The sequence below is a fragment of the Homo sapiens genome, chromosome X (assembly GCF_000001405.40).
Source record: "Homo sapiens chromosome X, GRCh38.p14 Primary Assembly".
Lineage (NCBI taxonomy): Eukaryota > Metazoa > Chordata > Mammalia > Primates > Hominidae > Homo > Homo sapiens.
In genome coordinates this window covers 46,908,239-46,928,673 of record NC_000023.11, presented here as the reverse complement: position 1 = coordinate 46,928,673, position 20,435 = coordinate 46,908,239, and the positions used below count along the sequence as shown (strand labels likewise).

Below are 20,435 nucleotides of genomic sequence, written 5' to 3'. Positions count from 1 at the left end.
AGTTCAAGGTTACAGTGAGCTATGATAGCACCACTGTACTCCAGCCTCGGTGACAGAGTGAAATCCTGTCTTTAAGAAAAACCAAAAAACACAAATAAGAACATGTTACATGTAATTTTTTTTTACACAAAATGATAATCGATATTTGGTTTGTTAATTGAATAAGAGGCAGCAAGTCCCCTTCAGGTATTTGTGGGAGATAAGATGCAGAGAACCTGAAGGTTTTCTATCACTCTGTCTAGCTGTATACCTGCAAGTCACATGTACACAAATAGGTCACAGAGTAAGGAAGTATGGCATTAGGGCCAAAGTGAATAGAAAAGACAGGACTTAATGAGGAAATATGTAGTAGGGGATGGCATCCAAAAGAATAGAGTTGGGGATAGTGGAAAATCTCTCGCTGAGATAGAATTTACAGGAATTTGGAAGAATTGGCCCAGGCAGGATTGGCAGGGCAAAGAGGGAAGGATTTCCCAGCTGTGAGGAAAGGTGCAGGTAAACATGAGTGTTGGATTGTTGATGGTACGGGAGAGGGAAGGCAGTGCAGAAACAGTCCAGAGGTGACATCTCTTAAGATTGTGTGCTCAAGACTTTTTGTTCCACCCAGTTCTGCTGAAATCCCAGATAAAGAACTGTCACAGTTGATGGACTGTACCATGTGAAAACATTACAAAATGATGAACAGACAATAAAAGAACATTTAGGTTCCTTATTGCAAATGCTGAATTTCATCCACTGCCTGGTGAGTGAATGGGTAGTCTTCTGTGCGCACCTCATAGGATACGGGAAAATTCTCCAGGGGAAAACATATCCTCTCTGCCCTTGGTGCCTGCTCAGACTGAGCCAGACCATACTATGTGGCAGTTATGCAAGAAAGGGTCTCCACTGCATTTTCTAATGGTATAGTGCTCTAGGGCAAGACTTGCTGAGTATTTCTGTAATTCCGACCTCAATGTGTTTCTCAAAACTGGGGAGATTAAGCCAGGTGGTGGCTCCCACCTGTAATCCCAGCACTTTCTGAGGCCAAAGCAGGTGGATCTCCTGAGCTCAATAAGTGTTCACTGATTCTGAGCTACTTTTTGCAGCTTCTTACATGAAATATAGCAATGTACTCAATTTTTGGTGAATCTGATTCTTCAGTGTTGACAGGGCAAGTCAAACCACCAAACTTGGGCATCTGGTCCAACCTTTGGATGTTATACAAGACTCTCATACATCTATGTTCCTAAACCTTTTCACCACTGAGGACTTCTGAAATTTTCCCCAGGGACAACATATTTTGAAGGCTTGCCTACCAAACACGCCACACTTATAGATTACTTAATTTCTCCATTTTAATTCATCAAAGATGAATGTTTCTCACAAAAAGGGTTCTATTAAACATGAGATAATAATATATTCAGTATGTCATACATTGCTCAGCATTTTATCCTTAATATGTCATTTATTTCACACAATACCAGTGGTTAACTTCATTTTACAAACGAGGAAACTGAGGCACAAAGAGGTTAAACTGACTCAAGGTTGCAGAGCTAGTAAAAAGAAAAAGCAGGATTCAAACTTGGGTCTCTGCTACTCTATCCATCCTAGCATTCAAACTCTAGCTAACTAGTTTTACCATGAATGGTAGTACAATTCTAGCCATCATACTCCCAGGTATTTATCCTAGAGAAATGCAAACTTATATGCACACAAACACATGTACATGAATTTTTATAGCGGCTCTACTCAATCAACAAAAACTGGAAACAACTCAAATGCCTTTCAATGGTGAATGATTAAACAAGCTGTGGTATATTTGGACAATGGAATACTACTCAGCAATAAAAAGGAACAAACCATTGATATATACAACTTGGATGAATCTCAAAAGCATTACCCTGAGAGAGGAAAATGAGACTCAAAAGATTACAGTTTGACTCCATTTATGTGATACTCTCAAAATAACAAAACTGTAGTGATAGAACACAGATCAGTGGCTGCCAGAGTTTAGGATGGAAAGAGAGTATGACTAAAGAGTCAGCACAAAGGAATTTTTTGGGTAATAGAACTGTTCTGCACCTTGATTGTGGTGGATTGTGGTGGTGGTTGCACTGATCTATTTATGTGTTAAAAATCCACAGAACGGGGTCAGGTGTGGTGGCTCACGCCTGTAATCCCAGCACTTTGGGAGGCCAAGGTGGGAGGATCACTTGAGCCCAGGAGTTCAAGACTAGCCTGGGCAACATAGTGAGACCTCGTCTCTACAAAAAAACTAAAACATTAGCTAGGTGTGGTAATGCGTGCCTGTAGGCCTAGCTACTCAGGAGGCTAAGGTAGGAGGATTGCTTGAGCCCAGGAGTTCGAAGCTACAGTGAGTGACAACTGTGACACTCCAGCTTGGGCAACAAAGTGACACCCTGTCTTAAAAAAAAAATCCACAGAACCATAAATAACCCCAAAAAAGTCCAACCTACTGTATAATTTTTTTAAGTCAATAGGCCAGGTGTAGTGCCTCAGGCCTACAATCCCAGCACTTTGGGAAGCTGAGGCAGAAGGATTGCTTGAGCCCAGGAGTTCAAGACCAGCCTGGGCAACACAGTAAGGTCCCATCTCTTAAAATAAAATAAAATAAAATAAAATAAAATAAAATAAAATAAAATAAAATAAAATTAGCTGGGCATGGTGGTGTACACCTGTAGTCCTAGCTACTCAGGAAGCTGAGGTGGGAAGATTACTTGAGCCCAGGAGTTTGAGGCTGCAGTCAGCTATGATAGGGCCAGTGCACTCCAGCCTGGGTGATGGAGTAAGACCCTGACTCTCAAAAAAGAAAAAAAAAAGTCAATAGGTCATCTTTTTTTTTTTTTTTTTTAGACGGAGTCTTGCTCTGTTGCCCAGGCTGGAGTGCAGTACTGTGATCTCGGCTCACTGCAAGCTCTGCCTCCCGGGTTCACGCCATTCTCCTGCCTCAGCCTCCCAGGTAGCTGGGACTACAGGCGCCTGCCACCACGCCCAGCTAATTTCTTTTTGTATTTTTAGTAGAGACCGGGTTTCACTGTGTTAGCCAGGATGGTCTCGATCTCCTGACCTCATGATCCCCCTGCCTCAGCCTCCCAGAGTGCTGGGATGACAGGCGTGAGCCACTGCGCCCAGCCAATAGGTCATCTTTTTGGTCACTACTAATTTCTGTGTTTCCCATTTACTACAACATTTCCACTGACCACTAACGTAGGATTTAACAATTAAAATAGCTATACTATAAAGTGAAACAAAGAACTATCATCAGGTCACACATCCCCACTGAATGATAATAGTCATCTCTTTAAATAAGCATTCCTTAAAAGTTAAATAAATTTGAGAGCTTATTCCCTTAAAAATAAAAGTATTTACTAAGTTATTAGATGGCATGATATTTCACACAGCAATTTCTACAGTCAAACAGAAATAGTAATCAAAATTAACCCTGGGAAGGAGAATGTGATAGGAGGAGGATGTCAAGAACAACCATGGCTCTTTCTACAATTTTTCAATTTTTTGCTAGGATGCATTCATGTATCATTAGTATAAAAATAGAATTCTTAAAAGAATTAAACCTTTCTAGATTGAAATGGAGATACTGTGCAAGTTGCAATATCCTTCCCTCCATGGAGTTTCCACTGCCCTTGGGGACCCCTTGGTTATTCCACTTACCTAGTCAGGTTTGTATTCTACTCAATACCTAGTGCCTCACTCATAGTACAGTGGGCACTCAACAAATGTCTGCTGAAGCGAATGGCACCTGGCGATGTGGATAACAAAAATGACAAAAACATGGTCACTAACAAAATCTACAATCTAAATAGATAAAATCATGCTCTAATTTTCAGTGACGCAAATTACTGAGTGCTAATGACATATTCAAAAACTACAAAGGCATACATTGAATTTTGGAAGAAAGCAAGACAAACGTATAATGTTTAAGTGGTATAGAGGATTTTTAAGCCTAAAACAGGGAGAAACCAAACTAGAATCAATTATTCCTGGCTCCCTAGTCATAAAACCATAAAATTCAAGAGAGTAAGAAAAAGAAACATAAAGGAAAACTAACCTGTACTGAGTTTCTATGTACCATGCATTGCATTAGACATTTATATAGATTAAAACTTCCAGGTTTCAGCTTGGATATAAAGCACTGGGATGCTACCATCTCCACTCTCACTAAAAGAAAAATGCTAGACAAACTGAAAAGCAACTACTTTTCTTCAATATGACAGAACTGAGGTCCTAGGACAAACCACTGTCCCACAATCCCAATATATGGAAATACTCATACCCGCAGGGAGACACAGGATCCGAGCATATAAACTTGTAGGAGGACCAAACTAGAAGTTCTGACAAATTACTGGAGACCAGAGTATGAGCTGGCATGAGAGTGTGAAGCTTGTAAGAGGTTGCTACACTCTTACAAGCTTTTCCTACAGGAATTCCACCAGGCTCTCACAGGGAAGATCAGGGAAAAATCTCAGAGAAAGCGCCCACCATGGTGCTGGCTAGCTGGCTGAGGAAAACAGCACCCACTGTGAAACCTACCCAGATCCCTTTATCCCCAATACAGAAAAAAAGGCTTAGTCTTTGGGGGAAGGACTTGAAACCCATGGTTGGAGAACACTGGTGGATACCCACTGCAGCTAGGGTAAAGGAACATGGGAAAAAGAAAAAGAAGCTCCAGTCCAGGAGGAGGAAAAGTAAATCTTGCCAAGGACACACTCAAGACCCAGGCTCTAGTACCTGTCTAAGTAAGGTTTAATCAGATCATCAGAGAACTCCCTCCTCCCCTACTAACCACAACCTGGCAAACCAGCTCCATGGTTAAGAACAATAGAATACAACTGGGAGAGCTGTTAGAGCTAGCTCTTGGGAAGCAGCACAAAGTAAAAACCCAAAGCTAAGCAAGAGTCAAAATGAATGTATCACTAGAGAAATCAGAAATCTCTGGTGCCTGGTGGAGCACAGTGGCTCATGCCTGTAATCTCAGCACTTTGGGAAGCCAAGGCAGGAGGATCGCTTGAACCTAGAAATTCAAGACCAGACTGGGCAACACAGGGAAACCCCATCCCTACAAAAAAAAATTTAAAAATTAGCTGGGCATGGTAGCATGCACTTGTGGTCCCAGATACTCAGGAGGCTGAGGTTGGAGGACTGCTTGAGCCCAGAAGGTTGAGAGGCTGAGGCTGCAGTGAGCCATGATCGTGTCACTGTACTCCAGTTTGGGTGACAGAGGAAGACCCTGCCTCAAAAAAAAAAAAAAAAAAAAAAAAAAAAGAGAGAGAGAGAGAGAGAAAAGAAATCTCTGGTACCCACAGCAAAACAAAACAAACCCAATATCAAACAGGTCAACTCTTGCTGGGCGCAGTGGCTCACACTTGTAATCCCAGCACTTTGAGAGGTCAAGGCGGGCAGATCACCTGAACCCAGGAGTTCCAGACCTACTCTGGGCAACATGGTGAAACCCCATCTCTACAAAAGATCTTAAAAACTAGCTGGACATGGTGGAGCACACCTATAGTCCCAGCTACTTGGGAGCCTGAGATGGGAGGATAGCTTGAGCCCAGGAGGTCGAGGCTGCAGTGAGCCATGATCATGCCACTGCACTCCAGCCTGGGTAACGGAGAGAGACCTTATCTCAAAAGCAAAAACACAAAAACAAAAAAACACAGGCCAACTCCTGACCAAATTAACACAAATTTCCATAAATATGTTCTTCTCCAAACATATCAAATATTTACCTAAGCATCTCCTGCCCATGTTCAGCTTTCAGCATATTTAGGAGGCGTAACAAAAGGCAAGAAAACATTCCAAGTGACAAAGGAATTACTAAATCCAGACTCAGTAAATGCAGATGTTGAGACTATCAGAAAAAAATGTAAAAGAACTATGATTAATATCTTAAAGACTCTAATGTAAAAAATAGACAATATGCAAGACCAGACAGATAATTTCAGCAAAGAGATAGAAACTGTAAGAATGAATCAAAGGGAAATGCTAGAAATTAAAAAAAAAACAGTAAGAAAAACAATGGGCTGAACAGTAGACTTGACATAGCCAAGGAAAGACTCAGTGAGCTTGAAGATCAAGGTTATTGATCAGTCAATAAAAATTAAAAAGAGACGAATGAAAATACTGAAGAGCACTCAAGAACTGTGGGGCAATAACAAACAGTATAACACACTTGTAATTAGAATCCCAGAAAGAGAAAAAAAAAAGAACAAGATAGAATTATTTGAAGAAATAATGGCTGAGAAACTTTCCAAAATTAGTGACAGGCAACAAACCACAGATATAATAAAGTTTAGAGAACACAAAGCAGGACAAAAATGAAAAAATTTTAAAAGCCACAATTAGGCATATCATATTCAAGCTGCTGAAAACCAAAGACAAAAAGAAAATCTTCAAAGTAGTCAGAGGAAAAAAGACACATTAACTATGGAGGAACAAGGATAAGAATTAAAGCAGCCTCAAACTAACGCGGGAACAGACAGCCAAACACCACATGTTCTCATTCATGGGTGGGAGAGTCGAACAATGGGAACATATCGACGCAGGGAGGGGAGCATCACACACTGGAGTCTGTTGGGGGATGGGGGACTGGGGGAGGGATAGCATTGGGAGAGGTGCCTGAAGTGGGTGACGGGTTGATGGGTGCAGCGGGCCACCATGACACATATATACCTATGTGGCAGACCTGCACATTCTGTACATGTATCCCAGAACTTAAGGTATTAAAAAAAAAAAAAAGGATTACAGCAGCCTTCTCATCAGAAATCACGTAAGCCAGGCAATGGTGGAGTACTATGTTGAAAGAGGAAAAACAACTGTCAACCCACAAAAGTGTCCTTTCAAAAGTGAAGGAAAATGAAAACTTTCTCAGACAACCAAAAACAGAGAATTTACTGCCAGCAGATCTGCCCTCAAAAGATAGGTTAAAGGGGATTCTTTAAGCAGAAAGACTGTGATCAAGGTAGGAAACCTGGATTACCATAAAGAAATGAAAAGCATTGGAAAAGGAATAAATGAAGGTAGAATATAATCTTTTCTTTTTAAACATTTGAAAAGCCAATTTCCCAAACACCAGCTAAGGGCCAATCGTGCACGTTGGCCTTCTAAAGACAGCAGCCTCAGGTCTGCTATGTTAACTCTTTTCTGCACAACACAGTATATTAAAAAAAAATCCTACAACATCATACTTGATGGTGAGAGATGGAATGCTTTCCAAGATTGGAACAAGTTAAGGATGTCCTCTCTCACCACTACAACTCTGAAAAAGAAGAAAAAAGCCAGGCCAGGTGCAGTGGCTGACGCCTGTAATTCCAACACTTTGGGAAGCCAAAGCAGGAGGATCACTTGAGGCAGGAGTTCAAGACCAGCCCGGGGAACATAGCAAGACCTTATCTCTGCACAAAAAATATTTAAAAATAGGTGGGCATAGTGGCATGTGCCCATAGCCCCATCTACTCAAGACGCTGAGGCAGGAGGATCACTTGAGCCCAGGAGTTCAAGGCTGCAGTGAGCTATGATGGGGCCACTGCACTCTAGCCTAGGTGACAGAGCAAGACCCTGTCTCTTAAAAAGCAAAAAAAGCCAGACGTGGTGGCTCATGCCTGTAATCTCAGCACTTTGGGAAGCCAAAGTGGGAAGACTGCTTAAGACCAAGAGTTTGAGACTAGCCTGGCCAATACAGTGAGACCCTGTTTCTATAAAAAAATTTTTTTAAAAAGTAACTTAAGCATACCCTGAGAGAAAGATTTTAAAAAGCCAGAGTACTCTATTACCTGATTTCTAGGCTTATTATAAAGCTATAATAATCAAGACTGTGTGTTAATGGAGAAATGATAGATATATAGATCAATGCAACAGAGAGCCCAGAAATAGATCCACAGAAGGATAGTCAACTGATTTTTGACACATATGCAAAGGCAATTCAATGGAGAAAGGGTAGTCTTTTCAACAAGTGGTGCTGGGACAACTAGACATCCATACGTGGAATCACATTCATGGCAGGAGAATATAAAATGGTAGAACCACTTTGGAACATAGTTTGGTAATTTCTGTCAAAGAAAAATCCACTAATCCCATTCCTACGTATTTACCCCAATAAACTGCAAACTTATGTCCACACAGAGATCTGTACACTAATGTTTACCACAGCTCTATTGAAAACCACCAAAAAACTGGTAACAACTAAGTCGTCCTTCGACAGGTGAATGAACAAACTGTGGTACATCCATACAATGGAATAGTATTCAGTAATGAAAAGGAACAGGCTATTCATTCACATAATATGGATGAATCCACTAAAAGCAAGACCAAAAAAAGGCTACATATTGCATGATTCCACTCATGTGATATTCTGGAAAAGGCAGAATTATAGTTAAAAATTCAGAAGTACACTATCGTGAGGCATTTCTAGGGGGAAAAACTGGCTAGATTTTTTTTGAACAGGAATAGCTCTGATCAGGTCAACTCGGATAGGAGTCTATGGAATTTTGCATCACTATATATCATCTCTTTAAAAAATGTATTTAACTTTTAAAATAAGAAAATATATTCACATTGCTTAAAATTCAAAACACATACGTAAAAGTTTATGTAGTGAAAAGTCTCCCTCTCACCCTCTACCTGCTTGGTCATGCGTGTTCCAAAACTATCAGTGTCTTCAATATTCTTGATTGACCCTTAGGATATTACCAATCTTTTGCTACTACAAGCAATACTCCAATTAATATGCAAATATTTGTTGAATAAATTCCTGGAAGTGTTTGTGGGGTCTAATGATGTGTGTGTTTATAAATTTTGATTGCTCTTTCAAGTCACTGACTTTTAAAATGTCAGAGATTTTTAATTTTTATCCTAGGAGGAAAGAAGAAAAGCTAACATTCTACCACCAGGCAATTTTCTGGGGGAATGTACATCTCTAAGACATACAAAATGAGCCTTGTATAGTTTCCCACACATACTTCCTGGGGTCCAGTTGCATTTTCATGTAATATATTTCAGGCCACAAGCTGTTGTGAAGCCTATTTCAGTTATGTGGAAAGTGTTACTTCTGAGATCTTCACAAGCAAAGGTCAAAGGCTGATGCCCCAAATTGGTAATTCCTGGCCACTCACTTCACAGTACAATGCTGGATTTTTCACTGCAACCACAGGAAGATTTTTAAATCTTAACCAATTAAAACACATTTACAGAGAATCCCTTGTCCTTATTACCAATGCTCAAATACGGATTTCCTCTCTTAGGTACAAATTATAAATCATATAAAGGTTCCAAGGAAAGACTGCAAATGTTTCTTTCATCTCTTAAGTGGTGGTGGTTCCCAAATAACGGTCTTTTGGCTTGACCACAAAATCTAGTAGAGTCTAATACACTAGGGTTTTCGTGATAATGCTTGAATGGAAGGTTGAGGAAATCTAGAGACTCCTTTGATAATAGCCACACAAGATCAGAAAGCAGTTAAGCCACTCACAAGAATATCTATGTCCAAAACCACACTGTCTGCCTTTGGCTTCTTCCCAGAAAAACCATCACTCCATTCCACACTTGGTGGAAGAGGTGTTACCAATGGCACAATCACATTATTTAGTCTCTAGAATACACTACATTCAGAAATGGGTGTTTAACAAGATTTATCAAAGCTTAACAGCTTACATTCATTGCTAATTATTATGAATTATTGCAGTAATGGCCCCCAATTTTTTCACATCTCCCTGTATCCACACCTTTGAATGGTCACCACCCACAATGACTCTGGGCTTGGCCACAGAAGCACTTCCATGCTTTAGCTTATGGGACAATAGCAAATGTGACACAGCAAACATTTGAAAAGTGCTTGTGCACTGGTGCTTGCTCTCACTTGCTACTCTGTGACTTCAAGACCACCATGTTAGTAAGTCCAGACTAGCCAGCTGGAGGGCAGACCACATAGAATGGAGATGAACCATCCCGGCTTAGGGCCTCCTAGACCAACCAGCCTGCCAACCACCAGATGTGTGAGTAAGGCTATCCCAGATCATCTAGCCACCAGCTAACCACCCTCCCCCAAAAAGCTAATTGACACAGGCTACTTAAAAGTAAATATGTTTGTGGCCTAGTACTTATGGGAAGGGGAACAGAACACTGGTTTTCCTCCTGTGAAGTTTACTCTGTAGATAAGAAATAGTTTCAAACAGAAAAACTTCTAGTACCTGGATGAGAATAAATATAAATATATAAGTATTGAAAAAATACTTAAGTCTTCCCAGATTCTAACAAATGTGCTGTCTGCCATCACAGATGGCACACACATGCAAAAAACAAAAAACATAAAAAAATTTCCATTTAGTCACTGAAGTATCTTTATCATGATATATTTAAACCAAAGTCTTATACTCGATAGTTCCATTTCTAACACTGAACAACAACTCAGGTTTCCAGGAATTATGTTTTCTCTCAATTCTACTTTTTCCCCATGTGACAGGGATCAGTGAGAGCTGAAAGAGCTCCCTTAATGCAGCCTAAAAAGCATCAGCTATATGAGCCTAATTAAACCTCCTTCTAGAAGCATTCTGAAGGACCAGCTTCTTCCAGCATCATAGAAACTCTTTTTAGCCATGTTAATGGCAGTCGATAAAAACTGTTTAAGACCTACACATTTGGTCCAGAGACATTGCCTCTATTGGATTGCAAGGTGGGACACTGAAGGGGAAATGACTTTCTTAAACCATTTTTGTTTAGGCCTCACTATATGCTTCCCTGGATGAGAGAGGATGAGAGAGGATGAGAGAGAGAGAGGATGAGAGAGAGAGAGAGAGAGAGAGAGAGGATGAGAGAGAGAGAGAGAGAGAGGATGAGAGAGAGTGAGAGAGAGAGAGAGAGAGAGACAGACCTCCCATTAGAGAGAGAGAGAGAGAGAGAAAGAAACACCTCTCATTGTACTTGGAATAAAACACAAGCTCTTTAATGAGGTCCCGTAAGGCCCTGTCAATCTTTCCCTGCCCACCTCATCTCTCTTACCCCAAGTCCTAGCCAAACCTCTGTGGATCCTTTCCACATCTCTCTTCCACCTCAGTGCCCTCACAACACCTGCTGCTACCCCTGCCTGGCAATCCCTTCTCTCTAACCCTTACCTTGCTTATTCCTGCTCATTCTCAAGGCTCAGGGCACCATGCTGGTCTCCCTCACAGGGACATTCTACCTTATACTTGCTGCGTGACCTTGGGCAAGTTACCTTTGCTTCACCTTTCTGAGTCTCACACCTCAGAGAGAGAGATCCTCTGTTAGTTAAGCACTTAGCACAGTACTCGGGACACAGGAAATGTTTAAGAAATCATTGCTGCTGTTATTGTTATTATCCTATATGGTAATGTCCATCATAGCTCTTAGTGCAATTAGATATTTATTTGTTGAAAAAATAGAAACACACCGAGCCACCCCCACCCGCCCCCACCAGCTTGGATCCCACCTTAATACCTATTACTTTTCAGGCAATTTCCCCATACATTGCATTTTTGTAGAGTAAGATGAAATGAATGTTTACAGAGCATTGATCAATTCTCACTACCACCCTCAGAGATATGGTTTGACAAAGAAATTGAGGCACAGAGAAGTTAAATAACTGGCCAAGAGCAAGTGGTAGAGTTAGGATTTGAATCCAAGTTGGCCTGACCTCACAGCCTGTGCTGGGTATATGACACCAAAGGCTTCTCTAACTCATGAACCTTGTCATCTAAGAGCAGGCCTCAGAGAAGACAGATCTTCATAGTTACACCCATCCCAAATGACTCCCAGAGATCTACTTCTCAGATCCTTAACCAGGATGGTGCTCCCATCACTCCCTGTGAACCCCTTCAGCAGAGCACTCTTCCTCCTGACTGTGAGAAGATGACTTAATTCCTTTCCACTGGAAGTTGAGCTGTTAAGGGGGTATCTTTCACCTCTTATACCCCTAGCAAACAGAAGGTATTTAATACATGTTTGCTGAATGAATTAAATGAAAATCTTGGAGAATATATTATTGTTGCAAAGTTGGGGAGTGGAGTGAATTTTCATTAACAGTATTAAAGTTTGGCATAGTTAAGAACAAACTTGACAAGAATGGTGAGAAAAGTGGAGTTTATCTTAACCACTTTTACAATCGATAATGATTTCTATATCTAGCCCTAGAGATTCTACACGGTTTACAAACTGTGTGCTTCACAGCTGTAGGTAGACTTTGCTCTACCTCTGGACCCTGCCTCACCACCACTGTTCTGCTATACCCAGTGGCTGCAACTGAGCCACTGTTCAGGACAGGATGCCCTTGATAAGTACCAATCTCTCAGTGATTACTAACAAATGGCTTGAAAGAAACAACAAATAATAAATTTCAGTGATTACTAACAAATGGTTTGGAAAGAGAACTAAAAGAGCAAGTGATAAAGCAAATGAGAGCAAACCGTTACTAATTGGGAATATAGTGAGTTCTTTGTACTATTCTTATAACAGTTTGTAATTATCAAAATAAGTTTTTAAAATTTAAAAAAGAATGTGTCCCAGAAGATTCCAACACACAAAGTCTAGTGTATTGGCCATGCTGGTATCATATATTCTTGTCATGTGTCTCAAAACAAAACAAAACAAAACAAAACAAAAAAACACATTCTAGGCTTGGGTTTCCTTGCCCATCAGCCAATACCAAGGGAAAAGGAGCTCCTTGGGTAGCAGGGCACAGCCATAGTTCCTGGGTTTTGGCAAAGATTAAATTATTTGCTGCTTGAAAAGCATTGATGAACTCATAGGTGTTTCCTATTGGTCAAAGCCCCAGTACTATTTCCTCACACCAGGTCCTTTATTCAGTCGGCTGTCTTCTGACTTATCACCTTCCTTTTCACAAGCCTAGCTATGAAATCGGGCAAGTTTTTCCCAGGACCCTTTTTTTTTTTTTACTTTCTCCCAAGAAAAGCACAGAGGCAGTTCTAATGGTAAGAATTTTGTTGTTATTATCTATGGAAAGACCTACAGGAACAAGGCAAAAATAACCATGAGGGAGTCATAAAGATTCCAGAAATCAGAAAACTCAAAGTGGTAGTTATTTGGTTTGTAATGACCACTTACTTGCTAGTACCCGTTTATTTGTTCATCACTTTTACCCATTCACCCTAGATCCTCCCCACCATACAAACCAGAATGTTTCAGCTTTCCCAGCCACTGTAACTGGAACAACAGAAACTTGTGAGCCATTAAAGTGTCCCCATGTTAGGAGAGTGCCAGACAGGTGTCACCTAACACTCACTTCTCACCTATATTGTGGGACAAGTCAAGATCATAGTAAATCATACCTCAATGAGAGATTTTCTTAATGTAAGACAGCATATTACCTCTGTCTTCTCAGCTCCTATTTTGTGTAAGCTCCACAAGGAGGTAGGTGCATTATGTCCCCTGATAATGCTCAGCTTCATTTTTGGACTGGCTCTCTGTAACTCTGATCAAGGCTTGTAAGAGCCCTCCCTAATGCCATGTCTTTACCAGCACCTGATGCCTCCTACCTCCCCCACCTCTTCCAAAATACTTGCCTAGTTCCAGCCAGACCTCAAAGCAGTGGGCAGAAAGAAGATATGGCTTTGTGTAGGTTAGGGGAAAAAATGGGTTGTTATGGTTGGTGGAACACAAGAGAGGGAAAAGACAAGCATTATTAAAGGAGAGGACAATACTAAACCTACAAGTCTTCAACACCCTTTCTTCTTTAACTTTCACCAATCCATACTTCTTAGCTATGATGCCAGCCCTGCACCATCACCTGTCCTGCTCCTGGGAATCTCCCCTACGGGCCTGAAGGTGGGTCACAACACTTCAGGGAGGAGTGGGAAGCCTTTCTCTACTTTTTTCTACCTATGACCAGATTCACATCGCATTGCCGAGGGCAAGCAACATGACTCAGAGAAGAGGGGAGAGAGAAAGTGTGAATTCTAGAGCCAGACTTGCACCCCTGAGTATTCCAGAATTGACTGGACAGAAAGCAAGGCAACAATATTGGGTTAAAAGCTATTCTCTAGCAAACAAAAGCATAAAGAAGAGCACAACTGGAGAAAAGGTGGCAAAGATGGTGGCTAACATCGATTGAAAGTTGAATACACGCTGGGCACTGAAACACTTCTCAACGGTCTCAGGTAATCCTTGAAGAGAGGGTATTATCCTTTTACAGTTCAAGTATTTAAGCTCAGAGCTCACTTTAAACGAAAGAGAAAATGATATGTTATGGAGGTAGAATACTCTTAGGTTAAACAAAAAAGAAAAAAAATCTATTTTTACGTATCCGAAGAGTAATCACATGATGCTACAAAAGCATGAGAACCACACTACTCAAAGGGTACGAAGGCCGGGACCCATACTCCCATTGTCTACAGATGTTTTGGAAGTATTAAACTAAATAAAAACACAATGCTTTGTTCAGACCGACTCCTCTCTCAGCCCTACTCTTTCCCCCTCCCAGCCTAGGCTGACAAGAAGTGGCTAAAGGGAAAGTATTTAACAGGAGAACTGGTCTGGGAAAGTGGATTGTGGGTTGCTTAAACTAAGCAAAGACGTTGTGCAACCAGTTTTTACCTAAATTATTTTTCATTACTTCCCAAGTTTAGAGAGCAGCAGTTCACTTTATCAGACTGAACACAGGGAATGAGGTCGCCTTTCCCTCCAGGCCACCACTGGAATCACCTTCAACACGGTTTTGACTTCTTACACAATCAGACGGCGGGAGGGGGGAATCTCATCCTCAGCTTCATAGATAAACGCACCTCACGGCACACACACACAAACAACTCGCGCACATCTGAGGCCACGGATTTCCTTGCAACTCAAAGTCGGAGAAGCGGCCAAACAAGTTTCTTGCCAAATCCCTAGTAGCCACATATGTCCCAGGGCCGCACAGCGATAAAAACTTTGAAACATGCCTCCACATACCACCATTGTGGTCACTCACTCCAGATCCCGCCACCCCCTCCTCACAAATAACAAACTCAGGCTGCCCTGTGCAATTTAAAGCTAGACTCCACCGAAGCACTGGCTCTGCTGTGAAAAGCGGGAGAAAAAGATTGAAGGCTATTAAAAAAAACAACAAACAAACAAAAAACAAAACAAAACAAAACAAAAAAACAAACTACGGCCCCCGGGGCGGAGGGAATAAAACGAACTCGAAAGCTGGAGAAAAGTTAACTTTGCCGTGCCCAGCGGTGGGAAAATTTCCCCGGAAGACTAGCAAAGCCCTCACGATTTTCCCACCCCCGGACCGCCCGACGCTCGGCGGCCACGGACCCGCAGTTCGAACAATGCCGCCAGTGGGAGGGAAAGTTCGCCAGCCCGCCGGGCGCCCGCGCTCCCGCTCCCGCCGGGTGGGCACCCGGGCTTCCCGGGGTGCCTCGCCGCACCCAGCACCACCCGTTCTCCCCTCTCCAGGCACTCGGTTCTTTCCGCCCCCCAACAGCTAAACAGCCAGGGCGCGCCCTCGCTCCCTGGAGCATCCGACCCCTGGCGGCCGACAGAGCAGGTCCTCCCGCCACGGGTCTGGCCCCGTCAGCCCCGAAGCCAGGCAAAGGGCAGGAACGGAGGAGGGGGCGCCAGGAGGGGGCACCGGAGGAAAGAGCCGCAACAGTTATGGCGCTCAATTCCTGCCCGGTGTAGCCGGGAGCTGCAGCCGAGCTCGCGCGTCCGCCCCCGCCCCCCGCCCGGGCCACCAGGCACTACCCGGGCGGGCAGAGGGGCCACCAGGCACTTTACCTCAGCCCACACACGCTCTCGGCCCCAAGGCGCCGGGGACGCCGGAGGCGACCACGATGTGGAACCGGAGCGACCCGGAGCGCGGCGAGGCCGGGCCGGGACTGTGCGCTCCGCGCCGCCCGCTTCCACTCCCGGAGGCCGCCGCTCCCGCCGCCCAGCCGGTGCGACGCCCCCAACCTCGCCCGCGCCGGGTCCGGCCTCCGCGGCGCCTACCTTCGCGCAGCTGGCTCGCGGCTCCTGCCCGGCTCCACGCCGCGGCCCGGCAATGTGCCGGGTGAGTCCGGTCGGAGTGGTAACCGCCCCCCTAACCGCTCGCTTTCTTCTCTTCCCTCCCTCGCACCTGCCCCTTAATCCCCTCCTCGCCCCCGCCCCCCGCCGGGGCCGCCCCCCGCGCCTCAGCTCCCGCCCTCGGCCCTCGTCCGCCCGGCCCGTCAGGCCTCAGCGCTGGGCAGGCGGTTGGGCGGCGGCGGCGGCTGAGGCGGCGCGGAGCACTATTGTATTCCTGACACTGTGCGCTCCCACGCTCCGCCTCTTCCCTTTCCTTCCTCCCCCAACCTCTCCTCCCACCCACCGCCGGCCGCGCTCGCCCTACCGGAGCGGCTCCCAGCCGTCTGCCCGCCGCGCGTTCTTCTGGCGGGCTGGGCGCCGTCGCCACCCGCCGCCTCGACGCCCCGCCCACTCGCCGCTCCCGCACCCGCGGCGCCGCGTTCCAGGTGGGCTCCCCTCCCGTCCAGCTGGGTGCGCCACTGCCCGAGACGCCCCAGCCCCGCCGAGCGCTAGAGAGGACGAGGTGCAGATGCCTCGGCTGTGTTGAAATACAAACTAAGCTTTTCATGGCCCCTTCCAACTCTGAAGTTCCAAAGTGGGACTCTCATACATCAACTCGGTGGCCGCTATTGATTTATGTCGCTTGTGCTTGAATTACCTGTAATAATAAAGCCAAGGTGGCTATTAACATAATTCATTTATTCAGTTGCCAGCACAGGTGGTTTGTGATGTTGTGTGGCTTTTTCGATGTGTCCACTGGTTAGGCTATCGCCCACAGTTATTTGATCGAATGCCAATCCAGGTGTTGCTCTGGAGGTATTTTGCTGATGTAATTAAAGCTCCTAATCAGTTGACTTAAAGTTAGGGAGATAATCCTGGATAATCTAGGTGGGCCTGACGGAATCAGTTGGAAAGCCTTTCAATCAGGGCTGAGGGTGCTGAGTACGTCAGAGAAAGAGAATTTCCCCTATGGATGACACCTTTGGCCTATGTCCATTGGTTCCAGCCTGCTCCTGATCTTCCCTTCCTGACTGTATGCCCTACAGATTTTGGATTTACTTGGCCACCATAATCGTCTAAGACAATAGCTTCGAAGAAATGAATGAACAGGGAGTATATATACGTATATTCCCACCACGCATTCTTCTGGCAGGCTGGGCACCGTGGGTGTATGTGTGTGTGTGTGTATATATATATGTATGTGTGTGTGTATGTATATATATATGTGTGTGTGTATATATATATGTGTGTGTGTGTATATATATATATATATATATAATTTCCTACTGGTTCTGATCCTTTGGTTGAATCCTAATATAGATGTTTAAGCAACAAACCTTTTTGGCTTACCTCTCTGGGTTTGGAAATGTGCTATATGCAACTATGATGAACTCATTCTCTTTCTTTTTTCTTTTCCTTTTTTTTTTGAGTCAGGGTCTCACTCTGTCGCCAGGCTGGAATGCAGTGGCTCGATCTCGGCTCACTGCAACCTCTGGGCTCCCTGTCACCCAGGCTAGAATGCAGTGGTGAGATCTCTTGGCTCACTGCAACCTCTTGGCTCCCTTCAACCTCCACCTCCGGGGCTGAAGTGATTCTCCCACCTCAGCCTCCCAAGTAGCTGGGACTACAGGCACATGCCACCATGGCCCAACTTATTTATTTATTTATTTATTTGGTAGAGACAGTTTCACCATGTTGCTCAGGCTGGTCTTGAATTCCTAAGCTCAAGCTATCTGCCTGCCTGGGCCTCCCAAAGTGCTAGGATTACAGGCATGAGCTACTGTCCTGGGCTATTTTCGTTTACATTTCTAGGATGAACAATAATGTAGGCTCTTTTGTATTTTGTCTGTTTTCCATGTTAAAGATCTAGTTATATTCCATAATATGGAAATGCGTGAGTTCTAAAATATTCGTAGTCCTTCAGACTTATCTCACTTTATTATACTTATTTAAAAATAATTATAGATTCATCAGAAGTTGTAAAAAAAAATGTACAGAGTGGTCCCATGTACCCTTTGCCCAGTTTCCCCCAATGGTAATAGATAACTATAATACAATATAGATATTAACATTAATACAGTCCACAGACCTTATCCAGATTTCATCAATTTTCATGCACTGATTTCTGAGTCTGTGTATATAGTTCTGTGCAATTTTAACACATTTAAATTTGTGTAATCACCACAATCAACTTTTTCTCCACCACAAAGATTCCTCCTGCTACACTTTGTAGTCACAGTCACCGCTTTCTCCTCCTCTAATTTCTGGCAACCCCTAACACGTTCTCCATCTCTATAAATTTGTCATTTCAAGAGTATTACATAAATGGAATCATACCTTTTGAAATCAGCTTTTCTTCACTCAGCATGATTTTCTTGAGATGTACCCAAGTTTGTTGCATGTCTCAATGATTTGTTGCTTTTTATTACTGAGTAGTATTCTGTAGTATGGATGTCCTACAGTTTGTTTATTCATGCATTGAAGGTCATTTGAGTTGTTTCCAATGTCTGCCTATTAAGAATAGAACTGCTATGAGCATTAATGTAGAAGTTTTTGTGTAAACATAAGTTTTCATTTCTCTGTGACAGATGCTCAGGAGTGCAATTGCTGGGTCAGATGGTAAGTGTATATTTAGTGTTACAAGAAAATGCCAAACTTTTCCAGACTATACCACTTTATATTACCACCAGCAATGTATAAGAGATCTAGTTTCTCCACATCTTTGTCAGCATTTGGTATTGTCACTATCTTTTTCTTTTAGCCATTCTAATAGGTGTGTAGTGATACCTCATTGTTGTTTTAAATTGCATTTCCTTAATGGCTAATGCTGTTGAGCATCTTTTCATGTGCTTATTTGCCATCTGTATAACCTCTTTGGTGAAATGTCCGTTCAAGTCTTTTGCCCATTTTCTAATCAGATTGTTTCCTACTGTTAAATTTTGAGAATTCTGTATACTACATTCTAGATACAAGTCCTCTGTCAGATATGTGATCTGCAAATATTTTTCCCAGTTTGTAGCTGGTCTTTTCATCCTCTTAAGAGATTTTGCAGACCAAATTTTAAATTTTGATGATGTCCAATTTATCAATTTTTGCATTTATGTATCATGTTTTTGTGTCATGGCTAAGACATCTTCATCTAGCTCCAGGTCCTGAAGATTTTCTCTTATCTTTCCTTCTATAAGTGTTATAGTTTTATATTTTACATTTAAGTGCATGATTCATTTACTTTTTATATAGGATCTAAACCTAAGGTTGAGGTTCATATTTTTGTCTATGGTTGTCTGATGGCTCAAATAAAATGACTACTTTTCCTCCACTGAATTGCTTCTGCACGTTTGAAAAAATCGATTGGGCATATTTGTGTGGGGCTATTTGTGTGGGGCTGTTTCTGGGTTCGCTATTCTGTTCTATCGATCTATGTGCCTATACCTCTGTGAATACCAGTCTTGATTACTCTAGCTATATAATAAGCCTTAACATTGGGTAGAGCACTTCCTCCCACTTTATTGTTCTTTCTCAGAATTGTTTTAGCCATTCAAGGTCATTTGCCTTTCCATATAAATTTTGGAATGAGTGTATTCTGTATCTACGAAAACCTTGCTGGGATTTTGAAAGAAATTGTGTTAAGCCTATAGATCAGTTTAAGGTGAATTGACATCTTTACTATTGTATATTGAATTTTCCAATCCATGAACACGATATGTCTATCTCTCCATTTATTTAGATCTTCCTTGACTTCTTTCGTCAGCATTTTTGAATTTCCAGCATACAGAACCTATGCATGTTTTGTTAAATATATACCTAAGTATTTCATTTTCTTTGTCATGATTGTAAGTGGTATTGTGTTTTTAATTTGTCTTCACATTCATTGGTCATTGTTAATATATAGAAATGCAATTAATTTTTATGTGTTGATCTTGTTTCCTCTGACCTTACTAAACTCACTTACTAGTTCTAGGAATTTTTCAGCAGATTCTTTGGGATTTTCTATGTAGACAATCATATTATCTGTGAATAGGGACAGTTTTATTTCTTCCTTTCCAATCTGTGCGCATTTTATTTCCTTTTCTTGCCGTCTTGTTCTAGCTAGAACATTCAGTACAATGTTGAATAAGAGTGGAGAGAGTGGACATACTTGCCTTGTTCCTTATCTTAAGGGGAAACATTGTCTTTCGCCATTAAATATGATAGTTGCAGGTTTTTTGTAGATGCTCTTTATTGAGTTGAGAAAGTACCTCTCTATTCACAGTTTGCTGAGAGTTTTTATTATGAGTGAATGCTGAATTTTGTCAAATGCCTTTTCTGCATCAAGTTATATGATCGTGTGATTTTTCTTCTTTAGCCTGTGGATATGGTAGATTACATTGATAGAATATTGATTTTTGAACCAACCTTTCATAGCTGGAATAAACCCCATTTGGCCA

The 20,435-nt window shown here is 42.6% G+C and overlaps 1 protein-coding gene across 2 annotated transcripts in view, besides 3 other annotated features; it reads right to left on the bottom strand.

The window, feature by feature from the left end:
* The window catches only part of JADE3 (jade family PHD finger 3), a 148,942-nt gene extending 132,569 nt beyond the window's left edge, over positions 1-16,373 (bottom strand). Inside the window, exon 1 of one of the 2 annotated variants that reach the window (NM_001077445.3) lies at positions 16,334-16,373. The gene's annotated coding sequence lies outside the window, so the exon portion shown is untranslated. Of the gene's footprint in view, positions 1-15,954; positions 16,254-16,333 lie in introns of those variants that run through there. The other variant, NM_014735.5, reaches the window with a different exon arrangement.
* Positions 15,466-15,875: a silencer, noted in NCBI's record as "silent region_20797". NCBI's record gives its function as "represses an Ori minimal core promoter by ATAC-STARR-seq in GM12878 lymphoblastoid cells {active_cell/tissue: GM12878}" and the evidence as "EXISTENCE:reporter gene assay evidence [ECO:0000049][PMID:35858748]".
* Positions 16,186-16,480: an enhancer, noted in NCBI's record as "tiled region #4088; K562 Activating DNase matched - State 4:PromP". NCBI's record gives its function as "activates a minimal TATA promoter and a strong SV40 promoter by Sharpr-MPRA in K562 cells {active_cell/tissue: K562}" and the evidence as "EXISTENCE:reporter gene assay evidence [ECO:0000049][PMID:27701403]".
* Positions 16,316-16,445: a silencer, noted in NCBI's record as "silent region_20796". NCBI's record gives its function as "represses an Ori minimal core promoter by ATAC-STARR-seq in GM12878 lymphoblastoid cells {active_cell/tissue: GM12878}" and the evidence as "EXISTENCE:reporter gene assay evidence [ECO:0000049][PMID:35858748]".